Raw genomic sequence first — 17,492 nt, forward strand, 5'->3', positions numbered from 1 at the left:
AGGGCGGTAGTCTGTTAAAGGCATATAAATACATAAACACAAATCAGCAGTGATTAGCCTAGATTAACCTCAAAAATACGTATTAGCCGTTGGAAAAAAAAAGGATTTGAACACGCGCTTTGCAAAAGTAGATAAACAGCCAATAAACCCATGAAAAGATACTTAATATTTATAGAGGAAATACAAATTAGAACCTCCACACAGTCATTAGACAGGCTAAAATTAAAGACTGACAAAGATGTGGAGTGCTTGGAACCCTCATCCATTGCTGATTTCCAACCACTTTGGGGTTTTCTGTTTGTTTTAGAGACAGGGTCTCAGTTACCCAGGCTAGAGTGCAATGCTGCGATCACGGTTCACTGCAGCCTCGACTTCGCGGGCTCCAGTGATCTCACCTCAGCCTCCAGAGTAGCTGGGACTACACGCACACGCCACTGCGTCCTGCTAGATTTGTCTATTTTATTTCTTATTTTTATTTTATTTTATTTTTTTGAGACGGAGTCTCGCTCAGTCGCGCCCAGGTTGGAGTGCAGTGGCGCAATCTCGGCTCACTGCAACCTCTGCCTCCTAGGTTCAAGCGATTCTCCTGCCTCAGCCTCCCTAGTAGCTGGGATTACAGGCGCCCGCCACCACGCCCAGCTAATTTTTTTTTCTTTTTTTCCTTTTTTTTTTTTTTTTTTTTGAGACGGAGTCTCTGTCACCCAGGCTGGAGTGCAGTGGCGCAACTTGGCTCACTGCAACCTCCGCCTCCCGGATTCAAGCAATTCTTCTGCCTCAGCCTCCCGAGTAGCTGAGATTACAGGCATGCGCCACCAACGCCTGGCTAATTTTTTTGTTTTTAGTAGAGACGGAGTTTCACCATATTGGTCAGGCTGGTCTCGAACTCCTGACCTTGCAATCTATCCGCCTTGGCCTCCCAAAGTGCCAGGATTACAGACGTGAGCCACCGTGCCCGGCTAATTTTTTGTATTTTTAGTAGAAACGGGGTTTCATCATGTTGGTCATGCTGGTCTTGAACTCAGGTAATCTGCCCGCCTTGGCTTCCCAAAGTGGTGGGATTACAGGCATGAGGCACCGCGCCCGGCCTTTTTATTTTTTTAATCTTTAAGACAGAGTTTTGCTCTTTTTGCCCAGGCTGGAGTGCAGTGCAATCGCAGCTCACTGCAACCTCCGCCTCCTGAGTCCCCGGGTTCAAGGGATTCTCCTGCCTCATCCTCCTAAGTACCTGGGGCTACAGGTGCATGCCGCCACACCCTGCTAATTTTTTGTATTTTAAGTCGAGATGGTGTTTCATCCTGTTGCCCAGGCTGGTCTCGAACTCCTGAGCTCAGGCAGTCTGCCCACCTCGGCCTTCCAAAGTGCTAGGATTACAGGCCTGAGCCACCGTGCCTGGCCTAGTTTTGTTTATTTTTCCCTGTGTTGCCCAAGCTGGTCTCAAACTCCTGGGTCCCAATAATCCTCCTGCCTCCCACACCTGGCCTCCAACCACTTTGAAAAACAGGGTCTTTCTTAATTTATATCTACAATATGATCTAGCCATTGCACTCATAAGTATTTACCCAAGGTAAATGAAAGCATAACAAAACCAAAGTCCTTTATTCATGATAACCAAAATTTGAAAATAATCCAAATGTCCAACAGATGAACAGATAAACCAATTGTGCTATATCAATACAATGGAATACTACTCATCAATATAAAGAAATGCATAGGCCAGGCAGGGTGGCTCAGGCCTGTAATCCCATCACCCTGGGAGATGAAGGTGAGAGGATCACTTGAGCTTAGGAGTTTGAGACCAGCCTGGGTAACAAAGTGAGACTTTGTCTCTAAAAAAACAAACAAATAAACTGAATACTTATGATTTGTTCATTTTATTGTATCTAAATTATACCTCAATAAACATGATCTTAAGAGTGAGAAGGGGCCGAGCGCAGTGGCTCACGCCTGTAATCCCAGCACTTTGGGAGGCCAAGGCAGGCAGATCCTGAGGTCAGGAGATCGAGAACAGCCTGGCTAACACGGTGAAACTCCATCTCTACTAAAAATACAAAAAATTAGCCAGGCGTGGTGGCACGAACCTGTAGTCCCAGCTACTTGGGAGGCTGAGGCAGGAGAATCACTCGAACCTGGGAGGCAGAGGTTGCAGTGAGCCGAGGTCACACCACTGCACTCCAGCCTGGGCGACTCCGTCTCAAAAAAAAAAAAAACAGCGAGAAGGGGATGGGGGAGGGAGTGGTTGTGGGGGGAAAAAACGAAAAAGTAAAGCAAAAAAGTAAATATTGACCGGGCACGGTGGCTCATGTCTGTAATCCTAGCACTTTGGGAGGCTGAGGCAGGTGGATAGCTTGAGCTCAGGAGTTCGAGACCAGCCTGGGCAACATGGTGAAAGTATATCTCTACAAAAAATACAAAAATTAACCGGGCGTGGGGGTGTGTGCCTGTGTAGTCCCAGCTATTTGGGAGGCTGAGGTGGGAAGATCACTTGAGTCTGGGAGGTCAAGGCTGCAGTGAGCCTTGAAATTGCATCACTACACTCCAACCTGGGTGACAGAGTGAGACCCTGTCTCAAAAACAAAACAGAAGCAAAAACCACACACACAATTTAACCATCATATTTATCATCACCATTCTTCCAAATACTTGTGGAAAAAATGTCCAAGAGATTTTCAGTTAAGCCTGTTTTATTTATTTATTTATTTATTTATTTATTTTTTGAGACGGAGTCTTGCTCTGTCACCCAGGCTGGAGTGCGGTGGCACGATCTCAGCTCACTGCAACCTCCGCTTCCCGGGTTCAAGAGATTCTCCTGCCTCAACCTCCTGAGTAGCTGGGATTACAGGCGTGTGCCACCACGCCCAGCTAATTTTTGTATTTTTAGTAGAGACAGGGTTTCTCCATGTTGCTCAGGCTGGTCTCGAACTCCTGACCTTGTGATCCGCCTGCCTCGGCCTCCCAAAGTGCTGGGATTACAGACATGAGCCACCACGCCCAGCCAAGCCTGTTTTATAGATGGCAAAGCTCAGACAGAAGATGTCCAGTGATTTCCCCAACCCAGGAAAACAGCGTGGAGTAAAGCTGGAACCCTGGCCTCCCTTTGGCTCCCATCTCACAGGTCAGAACCCCCCAGGCAATGGTCAGCTTCAGTTAACCTGTGTCTACTCTATATTGAGGGGCCCCAGAGACACAGATCCTGCACAGCCTATGGGGCTCTCATGATGTGAGGTCAAACAAGCCCAGGCACATGATTCCAGGCCATCCCAAGGAATGGCCTAGAGGAGCTGTGCCTTCCCACTCCAGGCCTGGTGAACTTAAGTAACAGAAAACATTCCCTGCCTCCTCCTTGGGTGTTGTCAGGGGAAGACAATTTCTAATGTTGGACTGGTCTGATCATTGCCATCTCCATTTTGACCCAGGCTAATGATTCACTGTGTAGCTCCCTCCATGTTCCTGAGATATTCCCCTATAGGAAGCCTGCCCGTGCTGAAGCAGAGCCCTTCCCAAATCCCATGGATTACAGTATGGACCCCCTGGGCATCAGGAGGATCCAGACAAGCTCTGGCTTTAGGTCCCATCTCTGTGAGCACAGCCACCAGCAGACACAGAACTGTATGGCCCCTCATTACAGATGAGTTTCACCTCTTAGCTTGCTGGTAAACAGCCACTTTCACTCCAGCCCCTTCAATACATTGCCCAATTGTGGCAGGCAGGTTTTTCAATGTGAAATCCTCATTGATTCTCTCTGTTTTACAGCCATGTCCAATAGCTCTCAATAAGGCAGGGCACAGAGGCTCACACCTATAATCACAACATGTAGGAAGGCCAAGGTGAAAGGATTGCTTGAGCACAGGAGTTCAAGACCAGCCTGGGCAACATAGTGTGACACACATCTCTATAAAACAAAACAGGACAGGCGCGGTGGTTCACGCCTATAATCCCAGCAATTTGGGATGCTGAAGAGGGCAGATCACCAGGTCAAGAGATCCAGACCATGCTGGCCAACATGGTGAAACCCCGTCTCTACTAAAATACAAAAATTAGCTGGGCATGGTGGCGCGCGTCTGTAGTCCCAGTTACTAGGGAGGCTGAGGCAGGAGAATGGCTTGAACCCAGGAGGTGGAGGTTTCAGTGAGCCTAAATCACACCACTGCACTCCAGCCTAGGCCACAGGGCGAAACTCCATCTGTCTCAAAAAAAAAAAGATAAGGGTCTTACTTTGTTGCCAACTGGTCTGGAACTCCTGGGTTTAAGCAATCCTCCTACCTCTGCCTCCCTAATTGCTGAGGTTTCATCCCAGAGCCACCATGCCCATATTGCTTGGTGTTAGGAACTTCCACTTAAAACCAAGATGGAGGCTGGGACGGTGGCTCAAGCCTGTAGTCCCAGCACTTTTGGAGGCTGACGAGGGTGGATCACAAGATCAGGAGTTCAAGATCAGCCTGGCCAACATAGTGAAACCCTGTCACTACTGAAAATACAAAAATTAGCCGGGTATGGTGGTGCACACTTGTAGTCCCAGCTACTTGAGAAGCTGAGGCAGGAGAATCACTTGAACCCGGGAGGCAGAGGTGGCAGTGAGCAACAATCACGCCTCTGCACTCCAGCCTGGCAACAGAGCAAGACTTCATCTCAAAAATGCGGCCGGGCACCGTGGCTCAAACCTGTAATCCTAGCACTTTGGGAGGAAAGGCGAGTGGATCACGAGGTCAGGAGATTGAGACCATCCTGGCTAACGCTGTGAAACTCCGCCTCTACTAAAAATACAAAAAATTAGCCGGGCGTGGTGGCACGCACCTGTAGTCCCAGCTACTTGGGAGGCTGAAGCAGGAGAATTGCTTGAACCTGGGAGGCAGAGGTTGCAGTGAGCCGAGATCACGCCACTGCACTCCAGCCTGTGTGACAGAGTGAGACTCCGTCTCAAAAGAAAAAAAAAAGAACCAGATAGGCAAGCACAGTGGCTCATGCCTATAATCCCAGCACTTTAGGAGGCTGAGGCTGGAGGATCTCTTGAGCCTGAGTCACGGCTGTATCACACCACCACAATCCAACCTAGGTGACAGAGTGAGAATCTGTCTCAAAAAAAAAAAAAGGAAGAAAAAAGGCTGAGCACAGTGGTTTATGCCTGCAATCCCAGCACTTTGGGAGGCTGAGGCAAGATGATTGTGTGAGCCCAGGAGTTTGAGGTCAGCCATGGTGAAACTCCGTCTCTACAAAAAATACAAAAATTAGCCGAGCATGGTGGCTCATGCCGGTAGTTCCAGCTACTCAGGAGGCTGACATTGGAGAATCACCGAGGCCAGGAGTTCGAGGCTGCAGTGAGCCAAGATCACAAAAAATAAGAATATAAAGCCGGGCGCAGTGGCTCACACCTGTAATCCCAGCACTTTGGGAGGAAGAGGCGGGCGGATCACAAGGTCAGGAGATCGAGACCATCCTGGCTAACATGGAGAAACCCCGTCTCTACTAAAAATACAAAATTAGCCGGGGTGGTGGTGCATGCCTGTAATCCCAGCTACTTGGAGCTGAGGCAAGAGAATTGCTTGAACCCGGGAGACAGAGGTTGCGGTGAGCCAAGATCGCGCCATTGCACTCCAGCCTGGGCAACAAGAGCGAAACTCCGTCTCAAAAAAAAAAAAACAAAAACAAAAATTAGGCCAGGTGAGGTGGCTCACACCTGTAATCCCAGCACTTTGGGAGGCCAAGGCAGGCGGATTATTTGAGGTCAGGAGTTCGAGACCAGCCTGGCCTACATGGCTAAACCCCATCTCTACTAAAAATACAAAAAAAGGCCGGGCGCGGTGGCTTACACCTGTAATCCCAGCATGCTGGGAGGCCAAGGCGGGCGGATCACCTGACGTCGGGAGTTTGAGACCAGCCTGACCAACATGGAGAAACCCCGTCTCTACTAAAAATACAAAAAAATTAGCCAGGCATGGTGGCCCATGCTTGTAATCCCAGCTACTCAGGAGGCTGAGGCAGGAGAATCGCTTGAACCCAGGAGGTGGAGGTTGCAGTGAGCCAAGATCGAGCCATTGCACTTCAGCCTGGGCAACAAAAGGGAAACTCTGTCTCAAAAAAAAAAAAAAAAGTCCAGTATGGTGGCATGAGCCTGTAATCCTAGGTACTTGGGAGGCTGAGGCAGGAGAAATCGCTTCAACCCGGAAGGCAGAGGTTGCAGTAAGCCGAGATTACGCCATTGCACTCCAGCCTGGGTGACAAGAGTGAAACTCCATCTTGAAAATAAAAAAAAAAATACAAAAATTAGCTGGGCGTGGTGGTGCACACCTGTAGTCCCAGCTACTTGGGAGGCTGAGGCAGGAGAATCTCTTGAACCTGGGAGGCAGAGGTTGCAGTAAGCTGAGATCGCGCCACTGCACTCCATCCTCGGTGACAGAGGGAGACTCCATCTTAAAAAAAGAAAAATAAAAAATAAGAGAAACAAAGTGGCAATTTGGAGAGGCAAAATGATTAGAGATTAGAGAGGACAGAACTCCATAGAGAGATAACAGGCGATTTCCAAGGCGGTTCCTTGAGGCTTCAGCTGAGTGATAATCAGCACAAGTATGTGAGGAAACTACCCAACCCCAGGGAGAGAATTACCCAAAAAGAATAAGATAACTAGGCCAGGCCCGGTGGCTCACACCTGTAATCCCAGCACTTTGGGAGGCCAAGGTGGGCAGATCACGAGGTCAAGAGATCAAGACCATCCTGGCCAACATGGTGAAACCCCGTCTCTACTAAAAATACAAAAAATTAGCCAGGTATGGTGGTGGGTGCCTGTAATCCCAGCTGCTTGGGAGGCTGAGGCAGGAGAATTGCTTGAACCTGGTAGGCGGAGGTTGCAGTGAGCCGAGATCGTGCCATTGCACTCCAGCCTGGGCAAAAAGAGTGAAACTCCGTCTCAAAAAACAAACAAACAAACAAAAAAGAATAAGATAACTATCACCAAATCTTACGAGTATGTGAGGAAACTACCCAAGCCAGTGAAAGAATTACCCAAAAAGAGTAAAAATAACAATCAGCAACTCTTAGTCTGAGCCAGAAATTGTGTTTCCACCAGCCATAGCTAAAGCCCTCCTAATTCATGGGGCATTGTGTAGCATGCTTAAACGGGTATTGCTGGGCCGGGTGCGGTGGCTCATGCCTGTAATCCCAGCACTGTGGAAGGCCGATGGGGGCGGATCATGAGATCAGGAGTTCGAGACCAGCCTGGCTAATATGATGAAACCTCATCTCTACTAAAAATATAAAAAATTAGCCAGGTGTGGTGATGCGTGCCTATAGTCCCACCTACTCAGGAGGCTGAGACAGGAGAATCGCTAGAACCCGGGAGGCAGAGGTTGCAGTAAGCCAAGATTGCGCCACTGCACTCCAGCCTGGGCAACAGAGTGAGACTCCATCTCAAAAAAAAAAACAGAAAAAAAAAAAAAAGGCCAGGTGAGGTGGCTCATGCCTGTAACCCAGCACTTTGGGATGCTGAGGTGAGCAGATCACCTGAGGTCGGGAGTTCGAGACCAGCCTGACCAACACGGAGAAACCCCATCTCTACTAAAAATACAAAATTAGCTGGGCGTGGTGGCACATGCCTGTAATCCCAGCTACTCAGGAGGCTGAGGCAGGAGAATCGCTTGAACCCGGGAGGCAGAGGTTGTGGTGAGCCAAGATTGCGCCATTGCACTCCAGCCTGGGCAACAAGAGCAAAACTCCTTCTCAAAAAAAAGGGTATTGCTGGCCAGCACTCTGGGAGGCTGAGGCAGGTGGATTACTTGAGGCCAAGAGTTTGAGACCAGCGTGATCAACATGAGGAAACCCCATGTCTACTAAAAATACAAAAATTAGCCAGGTGTATTGTTGGTGCACACCTGTAAGCCCAGCTACCTGGGAAGCTGAGACATGAGAACTGCTTGAACCCAGGAGGCAGAGGTTGCAGTGACCCAAGAACGTGACAGGGCACTCCAGCCTGGGCGACAGACCAATACTCTGTCTCCAGAAAAAAAAAAAAGGGTATTGCCATACATTATGGATGAAAATTTGTGTGAAGCTAAAATCTACTCTGATCCTACCTAACAAAGATTAAAATCAAGCCTCAAAATAATCAAATGTTTAAATGTATTAAAGAACAATGCTCAAAAATATCTATAGGAATACAATGCTATCCAGCATTTGAAAAGGTAAAATTTACAATGTTTGGCATTCATTTCAAAATTACCAGTCAGCCAAAAGAGATTGCACATACCTGATCACACCTGTAAATAGCCACTGCTCTCCAGCCTGGGCAACATAGCCAGACCCTGACTCTCCAAAAACAAATTGTTTATATACATATAACTACCACTGCCCTTTTATTTTTTTTTCTTGGACGGAGTTTTGCTCTTGTTGCCCAGGCTGGAGGGCAATGGCACGATCTCGGCTCACTGCAACCTCCGCCTCCCGAGTTCAGGCGATTCTCCTGCCTCAGCCTCCCTAGTAGCTGGGATTACAGGCATGCGCCACCACGCCTGGCTAATTTTGTATTTTTAGTAGATACAGGGATTCTCCATGTTGGTCAGGATGGTCTCAAACTCCCGACCTCAGGTGATCCACCCGCCTCGGCCTCCCGAAGTGTTGAGATTACAGGCGTGAGCCACTGTGCCCGGCCTACCACTGTCCTTTTCATAGTTTTATTTTTTATTTTTATTTTTTGAGATGGAGTCTTGCTCTGTCGCCCAGGCTGGAGTGCAGTTGCACAATCTCAGCTCACTGCAACCTCCTCCTCCCAGGTTCAAGAGATTCTGCTGCCTCAGTCTCCTGAGTAGCTGGGATTACAGGTGTGTGCCACCACACCTGACTAATTTTTGCATTTTTAGTAGAGACGGGGTTTCACCATGTTGGCCAGGCTGGTCTCAAATTCCTGATGTCAAGTGATCCACTCACCTTGGCCTCCCAAAGTGCTGGAATTACAGGTGTGAGCCACCGTGCCTGGCTTTATTTATTTATTTATTTATTTATTTTCTTTGTTACAGTCAGAGTTTCACTCTTGTCCCTCAGCCTGGAGTGCAGTGGCATGATCTTGGCTCACTACACCTTCTGCCTTCCAGGTTCAAGCAATTCTCCTGCCTCAGCCTCAAAAGAAGCTGGGATTACAGGCACGTGCCACCACGCCTGGCTAGTTTTTGTATTTTTAGTAGAGACAGGGTTTCACCATGTTGGCCAGGCTGGTCTCGAACTCCTGATCTAAAGTGATCCACCCACCTCGGCCTCCCAACGTGCTGGGATTACAGGCGTGGGCCACCGTGCTCGGCCTTATTTATGTATTTATTTATTTTTGAGTTGGAGTCTCACTCTGTTGCCCAGGCTGGAGTGCAGTGGCACGATCTCGGCTCACTGCAACCTCCACCTCCCAGGTTCAAGCGATTCTCGTGCCTCAGCCTCCTGAGTAGCTGGGATTACAGGCACCTGCCACCATACCCAGGTAATTTTTGTATTTTTAGTAGAGACGGGGTTTCACCATCTTGGCCAGGCTGGTCTTGAACTCCTGACCTCATGATCCACCCTGTTTGGCTTCCCAAAGTGCTGGGATTACAGGTGTGAGCCACCACGCCAGGCCTATTTATTTATTTATATTTATATTTATATATTTTTTGAGACGGAGTTTCACTGTTGTTGCTCAGGCTGGAGTGCAATGGCGCATTCTCGGCTCACCGCAACCTCTGCCTCCTGAGTTCAAGCGATTCTCCTGCCTCAGCCTCCCAAGTAGCTGGGATTACAGGCATGTACCACCACACCCTGCTAATTTTGTATTTTTTAGTAGAGACGGGGTTACTCCATGTTGGTCAGGTTGGTCTCGAACTCCTGACCTCAGGTGATCCGCCTGCCTCGGCCTCCCAAAGTGCTGGGATTACAGGCGTGAGCCACTGCACCTGGCATGGGCCTATTTATTTTTTTATTTTGAGACAGAGTCTTGCTCTGACCTCATGCTGGAGTGCAGTGGCATGATCTCAACTCACTGCAACCTCTGCCTCCTGGGTTCAGGCGTTTCTCCTGCCTCAGCCTCCCAAGTAGCTGGGACTACAGGCACACGCCACCACGGCCAGCTAATTTTTGACGGGGTATCACCATGTTGGCCAGGATAGTCTTGATCTCCTGACCTCATGATCCTCCTGTCTAGGCCTCCCAAAGTGCTGGGATTACAGGCGTGAGCCACCGCGCCCAGCCTATTTATTTATTTTTGAGACAGAGTTTGCTCTGTCGCCCAGGCTGGAGTGCAATGGCAAGATTTCGGCTCCCTGCAATCTCTGCCTCCTGGGTTCAAGCGATTCACCTGCCTCAGTCTCCCAAGTAGCTGGCACTACAGGAGCGTGCCATCACCCCCGGCTTTGTTTTGTTTTGTTTTTGCGACAGAGTTTCGCTCTTGTTGTCCAGGCTGGAGTGCAATGGTGCGGTCTTGGCTCACCGCAATCTCCACCTCCCAGATTCAAGCGATTCTTCTGCCTCAGCCTCTCGAGTAGCTGGGATTACAGGCATGCGCCACCACACCCAGCTAATTTGATAATTTTAGTAGAGATGGGGTTTCACCATGTTGGTCAGGCTGGCTTCGAACTCCCGACCTCAGGTGATCTGCCCATGTCAGCCTCCAAAAGTGCTGAGATTACAGGCGTGAGCCACTGTGCCCGGCCCTTTCTTTTCTTTTTTGACAGTCCTACTCTGTCACCCAGGCTGCAGTGTAGTGGCACAATCTTGGCTCACTGCAACCTCTGGGGAGGCCCGATTTCTACAAAAAGTAAAAAATTGGCCAGGCAAGGTGGCTCATGTCTGTAATCCCAGCACTTTGAGAGGCTGAGGCGGGCGGATAACCTGAGGTCGGGAGTGGGAGACCAGCCTAACCAACATGGAGAAACCCTTTCTCTACTAAAAAAAAAAACAAATACAAAATTAGCCAGGCGTGGTGGTGGGCCCCTGTAATTCCAGCTACTCAGGAGGCTGAGGCAGGAGAATCGCCTGAACCCAGGAGGCGTAGGTTGCAGTGAGCTGCCAAGATCACACCATTGCCCTCCAGCCTGGGCAACAAGAGCAAAACTCTGTCTCAAAAAAAAAAAAAAAAAAAAACTACCTGAGTGTGGTGGTCCATGTCTGTAGTCCCAGCTACTCAGGATAACGTTGGAGGATCACTTGAACCTGGGAGGTGGAGGGTGCAGAGAGCTGTATTCATGCCACTGCACCCCATCCTGGGTGACCTATCTTGAAAAAATATGCATGTGTGTCTGTGTGTGTCTGTCCAGATATATAAGGACACACATATAATGTCTTTGCCTCTTGTAACCTGATTTGAGTCTATTTTCACTTACAATAATATAGCCACTCCAGCTCTCTTTTGGTTATTATTTGCATGGAATATATTTTTCCACCCTTTTCTTATGTAAAGCTAAAAAGAGGAAGCTGAGGCAAAATTAATATAAGTAGAGAGTTTATTTGGGCCAAGCTTGAGGATTGCTACCCAAGAACATAGATTAATATTCTACCCAAGAACATACTATTGTGTTGTCCTTAATAATATACACTGGGCCAGGTGCCATGGCTCACACCTGTAATCCCAGCACGTTGGAAGGCTGAGGTGAACAGAACACAAGTCAGGAGTTCGAGACCAGCATGACCAACATGGTGAAACCCCGTCTCTACTAAAAACACACAAAAAATTAGCCGGGTGTGGTGGTGCGCACCTGTAATCCCAGCTACTTGGGAGGCTGAGGCAGGAGAATTGCTTGGAGCTGGGAAGCAGAGGTTGCAGTAAGCCAAGATCATGCCACTGCACTCCAGCCTCAGCAATGGAGTGAGACTCCGTCTCAAAAAAAAAAAAAGAAAGAAAAAAAAAAGTCAGGCACAGTGGCTCACACCTGTAATCCCAGCACGTTGGCAGGCCAAGGCAGGCAGATCACAAGGTCAGGAGTTTGAGACCAGCCTGGCTAACATGATGAAACCCTGTCTCTACTAAAAAAAATACAAATAATTAGCGAGGCGTAGTGGCGGGCGCCTATAATCCCAGCTACTCGGAAGGCTGAGGCAGGAGAATCACTTGAACCTGGGAGGCAGAGGTTGCAGTGAGCCAAGATCTCGCCACTGCACTCCAGCCCAGGTGACAGAGTGAGACTCCGTCTCAAAAAACAAACAAACAAACAAACAAACAAAATAATAATAATACACTGATGGCCGGGTGCAGTGGCTCATGCCTGTAATCCCAGCACTTTGGGAGGCTGAGGTGGGTGGATCACCTGAGGTCAGAAGTTCAAGACCAGCCTGGCCAACATGATGAAACCCTGTCTCTACTAAAAATAGAAAAATTAGCCGGGCATGGTGGTGGGTGCCTGTAATCCCAGCTACTTGGAAGGCTTAGTCAGGATAATCGCTTGAACCCGGGAGGTGGAGGTTGCAGTGAGCTGAGATCACACCACTGCACTCCAGCCTGGGCAACAGAGTCTCAAAAAAAAAAAAAAAAAAAAAAAAAAAAAAAAATATATATATATATATATATATATATATATGCTGATTAGTAGCAAGTACAGATGGATTATTATTATTATTATTTTTGAAACGGAGTCTCGCTCTGTCACCCAGGCTGGAGTGCAATGGCTCAATCTCGGCTCACTGTAACCTCCACCTCCCAGGTTCAAGCGATTCTCCTGCCTCAGTCATTTGAGTAGCTGGGATTACAGGTGCCCACCACCACACCTGGCTAATTTTTGTATTTTTAGTAGAGATGGGGTTTCAGCTTGTTGGCCAGGCTGGTCTCGAACTCTTGACCTCAGATAATCCGCCCACCTCAGCCTCCCAAAGTGCTGGGATTACAGGTGTAAGACACCACACCCGGCCGAGACAGAGTCTTGCTCTGTCACCAGGCCGGAGTGCAGTGGTGTGATCTTGGCTCACTGCAACCTCCACCTCCTGGGTTAAAGTGATTCTCATGCCTCAGCCTCCTGAGTAGCTGGGATTACAGGCATGCACCACTATACCCAGCTAATTTTTGTATTTTTAGTAAAGATGGGGTTGCACCATGTTGGCCAGGATGGTCTCGATTTCCTGACCTCGTCATCCCGCCCCCTTCGGCCTCCCAAAGTGCAGGGATTACAGGTGTGAGACACAGTGCCCAGCCATTTATTTTTTGTTGTTGTTTTGTTTTGTTTTTGAGACTGAGTCTCACTCTGTTGCCCAGGCTGGAGTGCAGTGGCGCAATGTCTTCTCACTGCAACCTCTGCCTCCCGGGTTTAAGCAATTCTCTACCTTAGCCTCCCGAGTAGCTGGCATTACAGGCGCTTGCCACCACACCTGGCTAATTTTTATATTTTTAGTAGAGATTGGGTTTCACCATCTTGGCCAGGCTGGTCTTGAATTCCTGACCTCGTGGTCCACCCGCCTCAGCCTCCCAAAGTGCTGGGATTACAGGCGTGAGCCACTGAGCCCAGCCTGGTCTTTTTTTTTTTTTTTTTTTAAATGAAGTTTCATTCTTGTTGCCCAGGCTGGAGTGCAATGGCGAGATCTCAGTTCACTGTATCCTCTGCCTCCCAGGTTCAAGCGATTCTCCTGCCTCAGCCCCTGGAATAGCTGGGATTATAGGCATGTGCCACCACGCCCAGCTAATTTTGTATTTTTAGTAGAGATGGGGTTTCTCCATTTTGGTCAGACCGGTCTCGAACTCCCGACCTCAGGTGATCTGCCTGCCTCGGCCTCCCAAAGTGCTGGGATTATAGGCATGAGCCACCATGCTGGCTGTACAGGTGGATTTTTAAAGGAAAGAAGAAGCAATTCCTGAGTTGTTACCAATAACTTATATTAAAATAACATAAGCCATTGATTGCTTATATATTGTTTCTTTTTTCTTTTTTTTAATTGAGACAGGGTGTCACTATGTTCCCCAGGCTGGTCTCCTGGACTCAAGCAATCCTCCAGTCTCAGTCTCCCAAAGTGCTGGGATTACAAGTGTGAGCCACCCTGCCCAGGCCCCATTGCTTCTTTATATCACAAATTCCAGGAGCATGAAGATAATGGGTGAGGCAGTCAAGAACAAAATGACTTTTTTTTTCAAGACAAGCTATTGCTTCTGTCACCTAGGCTGGAGTGTAGTGGTGTAATCATAGCTCACTGCAGCCTCAAACTCCTGGGCTCAAGCACTCCTCTTGGGACTAGCACTAGGACTGCAGGCTCAGGCTACAGCAAGAATATTTTTCTTTACTTTTTTTCGTAAAGACAGGAGCTCACTATGTTGTTCAGGCTGGTCTCAAACTCCTGGCCTCAAGGGATCCTCCTGCCTCTGTCTCCCAAAGCACTGGAATTACAGGCATGAGTCACTGTGCCTGACCCAAAATAACCTTAAGCAACTGCCCCCAGGCATGGGCTTGAGGGAGGGAGCATGACTGAAGTTTCATACCGGAAGTCTCTCTGTGCCTGCACACCACACATAATTCAGACTGCTCTGAGCTATTTTTTCTTACAATTTTTTTCTTTTTTTTCTTTTTTTCTTTGAGACAGAGTCTCGCTCTGTTCCCCAGGCTGGAGTGCAGTGGCATGATCTCGGCTCACTATAACCTCCACCTCCTGGGATCAAGCACTTCTCCTGCCTCAGCCTCCCAAGTAGCTGGGATCACAGGCGCCCACCACCACGCCTGGCTAATTTTTAGTATTTTTAGTAGAGACGGGGTTTCCCCATGTTGTCCAGGCTGGTCTCGAACTCCTGACCTCATGTGATCTGCCCGCCTCAGCCTCTCAAAGTGCTAGGATTTTGAAAGTGCCAGGCGTGAGCCACTGGGCCTGGCCATTTCTTATAATTTCTTTGTGTTCATTTATTTATTTATTGTCTTTTTTTTTTTTTTGGTGGAGAATGGGGTCTCGCTATATTGCCCAGGCAGGTCTGGAACTCCTGGGCTCAAGCTATTCTCCTGCCTCTGCCTACCTAAGAGCTGGGGTTACAGGTGTGAGCCACCACGCCCGGCCATTCATTCATTCATTCATTCTTTCTTTGAGACAAGGTCTGGCTCTGTTGCCCAGGCTGGAGTGCAGTGGCCTATCTCAGCCATCCTCCCACTTCAGCCTCCTGAATAGCTGGGACTACAAGCATAGGCCACCCTACCCAGCTAGTTTTTGTATTTTTTGTAGAGACTGGGTTTCATGGTGTTGCCAAGGCTGGTCTCGAAACCCTGAGCTCAAGCAATCTGCCCACCTCAACTTCCCAAAGTGTCCTTATATTTAAAGTAAGACTCTTGGGGGCAGCATATAGCTGGATCTTGTCTCTTTTAATCCATCTTCCAATCTTGTCAAAAACAAAATCACAACAAATTTAGTTTAAGGATCGCTTTTTTTTTTTTTTTGAGATGGAATTTTGCTCTTGTTGCCCAGATTGGAGTGGAATGGCGCAGTCTCAGGTCACTGCAACCTCTACCTCCCAGGTTCAAATGATTCTCCTGCCACAGCCTCCTGAGTAGCTGGGATTACAGGCACCCGCCACCACACCTGGCTAATTTTTGTATTTTTAGTAGAATCAGGGTTTCACCATGTTGGCCAGGCTGGTCTTGAACTCCTGACTTCAGGTGACCCACCTGTCTTGGACTCCCAAAGTGTTGGGATTACAGGCGTGAGCCACTGTGCCCAGCAAGGATCTCCTTTTTTTTCCTTTTTTCTTTTCTTTCTTTTTTTTTTTTTTTTCTGAGATAGAATCTCTGTCGCTCAGGCTGGAATGCAGTGGAGTGGCTCACTGAAGCCTTGAACTCCTGGGCTCAGGTGACTCTCCCATCTCAGCTTTCTGAGTAGCTGAGACTACAGGTGCACGCCACAGTGCCCAGCTAGTTTAAGGATCTTAACTGGCTTTTATCTATGATTCCACAATCAGGCAACACTTCATTCTATAAAATAGAATGAGGCTGGGCGTGGTGGCTCACGCCTGTAATCCCAACACTTTGGGAGGCTGAGGCAGGTGGATCTCTTGAGGCCAGGGGTTCAAGACCAGCCTGGCCAACATGGTGAAACCCCGTCTCTACTAAAAAATGCAAAAATTAGCCAGGTGTGGTGGCACATGCCTGTAATCCTAGCTACTCCAGAGGCTGAGGCACAAGAATCTCTTAAACCCGGAAGGTGGAGGTTGCAATAAGCTGAGATTGCGCCACTGCACTCCAGCTTGGGCAACAGAGTGAGGCTCTGTTTCAAAAAAATAAAATAAAATAAAATACAGTGAGTGTTCTGATGAACTGAGCAGAGCAGTTTGGCTGCGTAGGCAGAAAAGGGTTGAGGAAAGCAGAAACAGTGAACAAAAGGGGATTGGTTCTTTCAAAAGTATGTTCTTTGTAGAGGTTAAAGCAGAGGGAATTTCTCTATCATGTTGTCTAAAATTGACTTGTTTGGAGATTTGGCTATTATCTCTCTCTCTCCTGATTTCTTTTCTTTTTCTTTCTTTCTTTTTTTTTTTTGAGATGGAGTTTTGCTCTTGTTGCCCAGGCTGGAGTGCAATGGCATGATCTTCACTCACTGCAACCTCTGCCTCCTGGGTTCAAGCAATTCTCCTGCCTCAGCCTCCCAAGTAGCTGGGATTACAGGTATGCGCCACCACGCCGGGCTGATTTTGTATTTTTAGTAGAGATGGAGTTTCTTCATGTTGGTCAGGCTGGTCTTGAACTTCTGACCTCTAGTGATCCGCCTGCCTCGCCCTCACAAAGTCCTGGGATTACAGGCATGAGCCACTGCACTCGGCCTCTCTCTCCTAATTTCTTGGAAGATTAGATAAATAATTTAGTTGCAGCTTCGTGGAATGGCACTTCAGCACAAGTAACTCAATTTTGGTTTGGTCTTTTGGGCCTAGTACAGGAGTTCTACCCAAACCAATGGCCTGCTATAAATATGATTTAATACTCAGGTGACCCACCCGGCCTATTGTTTATAGGCAAATAGTAGCCGGGTGCTGTGGCTCACACCTGTAATCCCAAAACTTTGGGAGGCCAGGGCAGGCGGGTCACCAGAGGTCAGGAGTTAGAGAACAGCCTGGGCAACATGGCAAAACCCCATCTCCACAAACATTGCAAAAAAAAAGAAAAATTAGCTGGGTGTGGTTGCACACACCTGTAGTCCCAGCTACTCAGGGGGTTGAGGCAGGAGGATCACTTGAGCCCAGAAGGTCAAGGCTGTAGTGACATATGATCTCAGCATTGCAGTCCAGCCTGGGTGACAGAGTGAGACCCTGTCTCAATAAAAAGAAAACAAACAAAAAGAAATAGTTTAAAGTTTTCTCAGTTTTAATTTCTAATATCATAAACATAGATAGATATAACTCATAGTTAAAGTCTCCCTTAGGCTGGGCGAGGTGACTCACAACTGTAATCCAAGCACTTTGGGAGGCCCAATCAGGAGGATCACTTGCACCCAGAAGTTTAAGACCAGCCTTGGCAACAGAGGGAAACCTCATCTCTACCAAAAAAAAAAAAAAAAAAAAAAAAATTGGTGGGCATGGTGGTACACGCCTGTAGTCCCAGCTACTCGGGAGACCG

The 17,492-nt window shown here is 48.2% G+C and overlaps 1 annotated feature.

Annotated features, from left to right (window-relative positions):
* Positions 14,299 to 14,648: an enhancer, noted in NCBI's record as "active region_19870". NCBI's record gives its function as "activates an Ori minimal core promoter by ATAC-STARR-seq in GM12878 lymphoblastoid cells {active_cell/tissue: GM12878}" and the evidence as "EXISTENCE:reporter gene assay evidence [ECO:0000049][PMID:35858748]".

This window comes from Homo sapiens, chromosome 3 (genome assembly GCF_000001405.40).
Source record: "Homo sapiens chromosome 3, GRCh38.p14 Primary Assembly".
Taxonomy (NCBI): domain Eukaryota; kingdom Metazoa; phylum Chordata; class Mammalia; order Primates; family Hominidae; genus Homo; species Homo sapiens.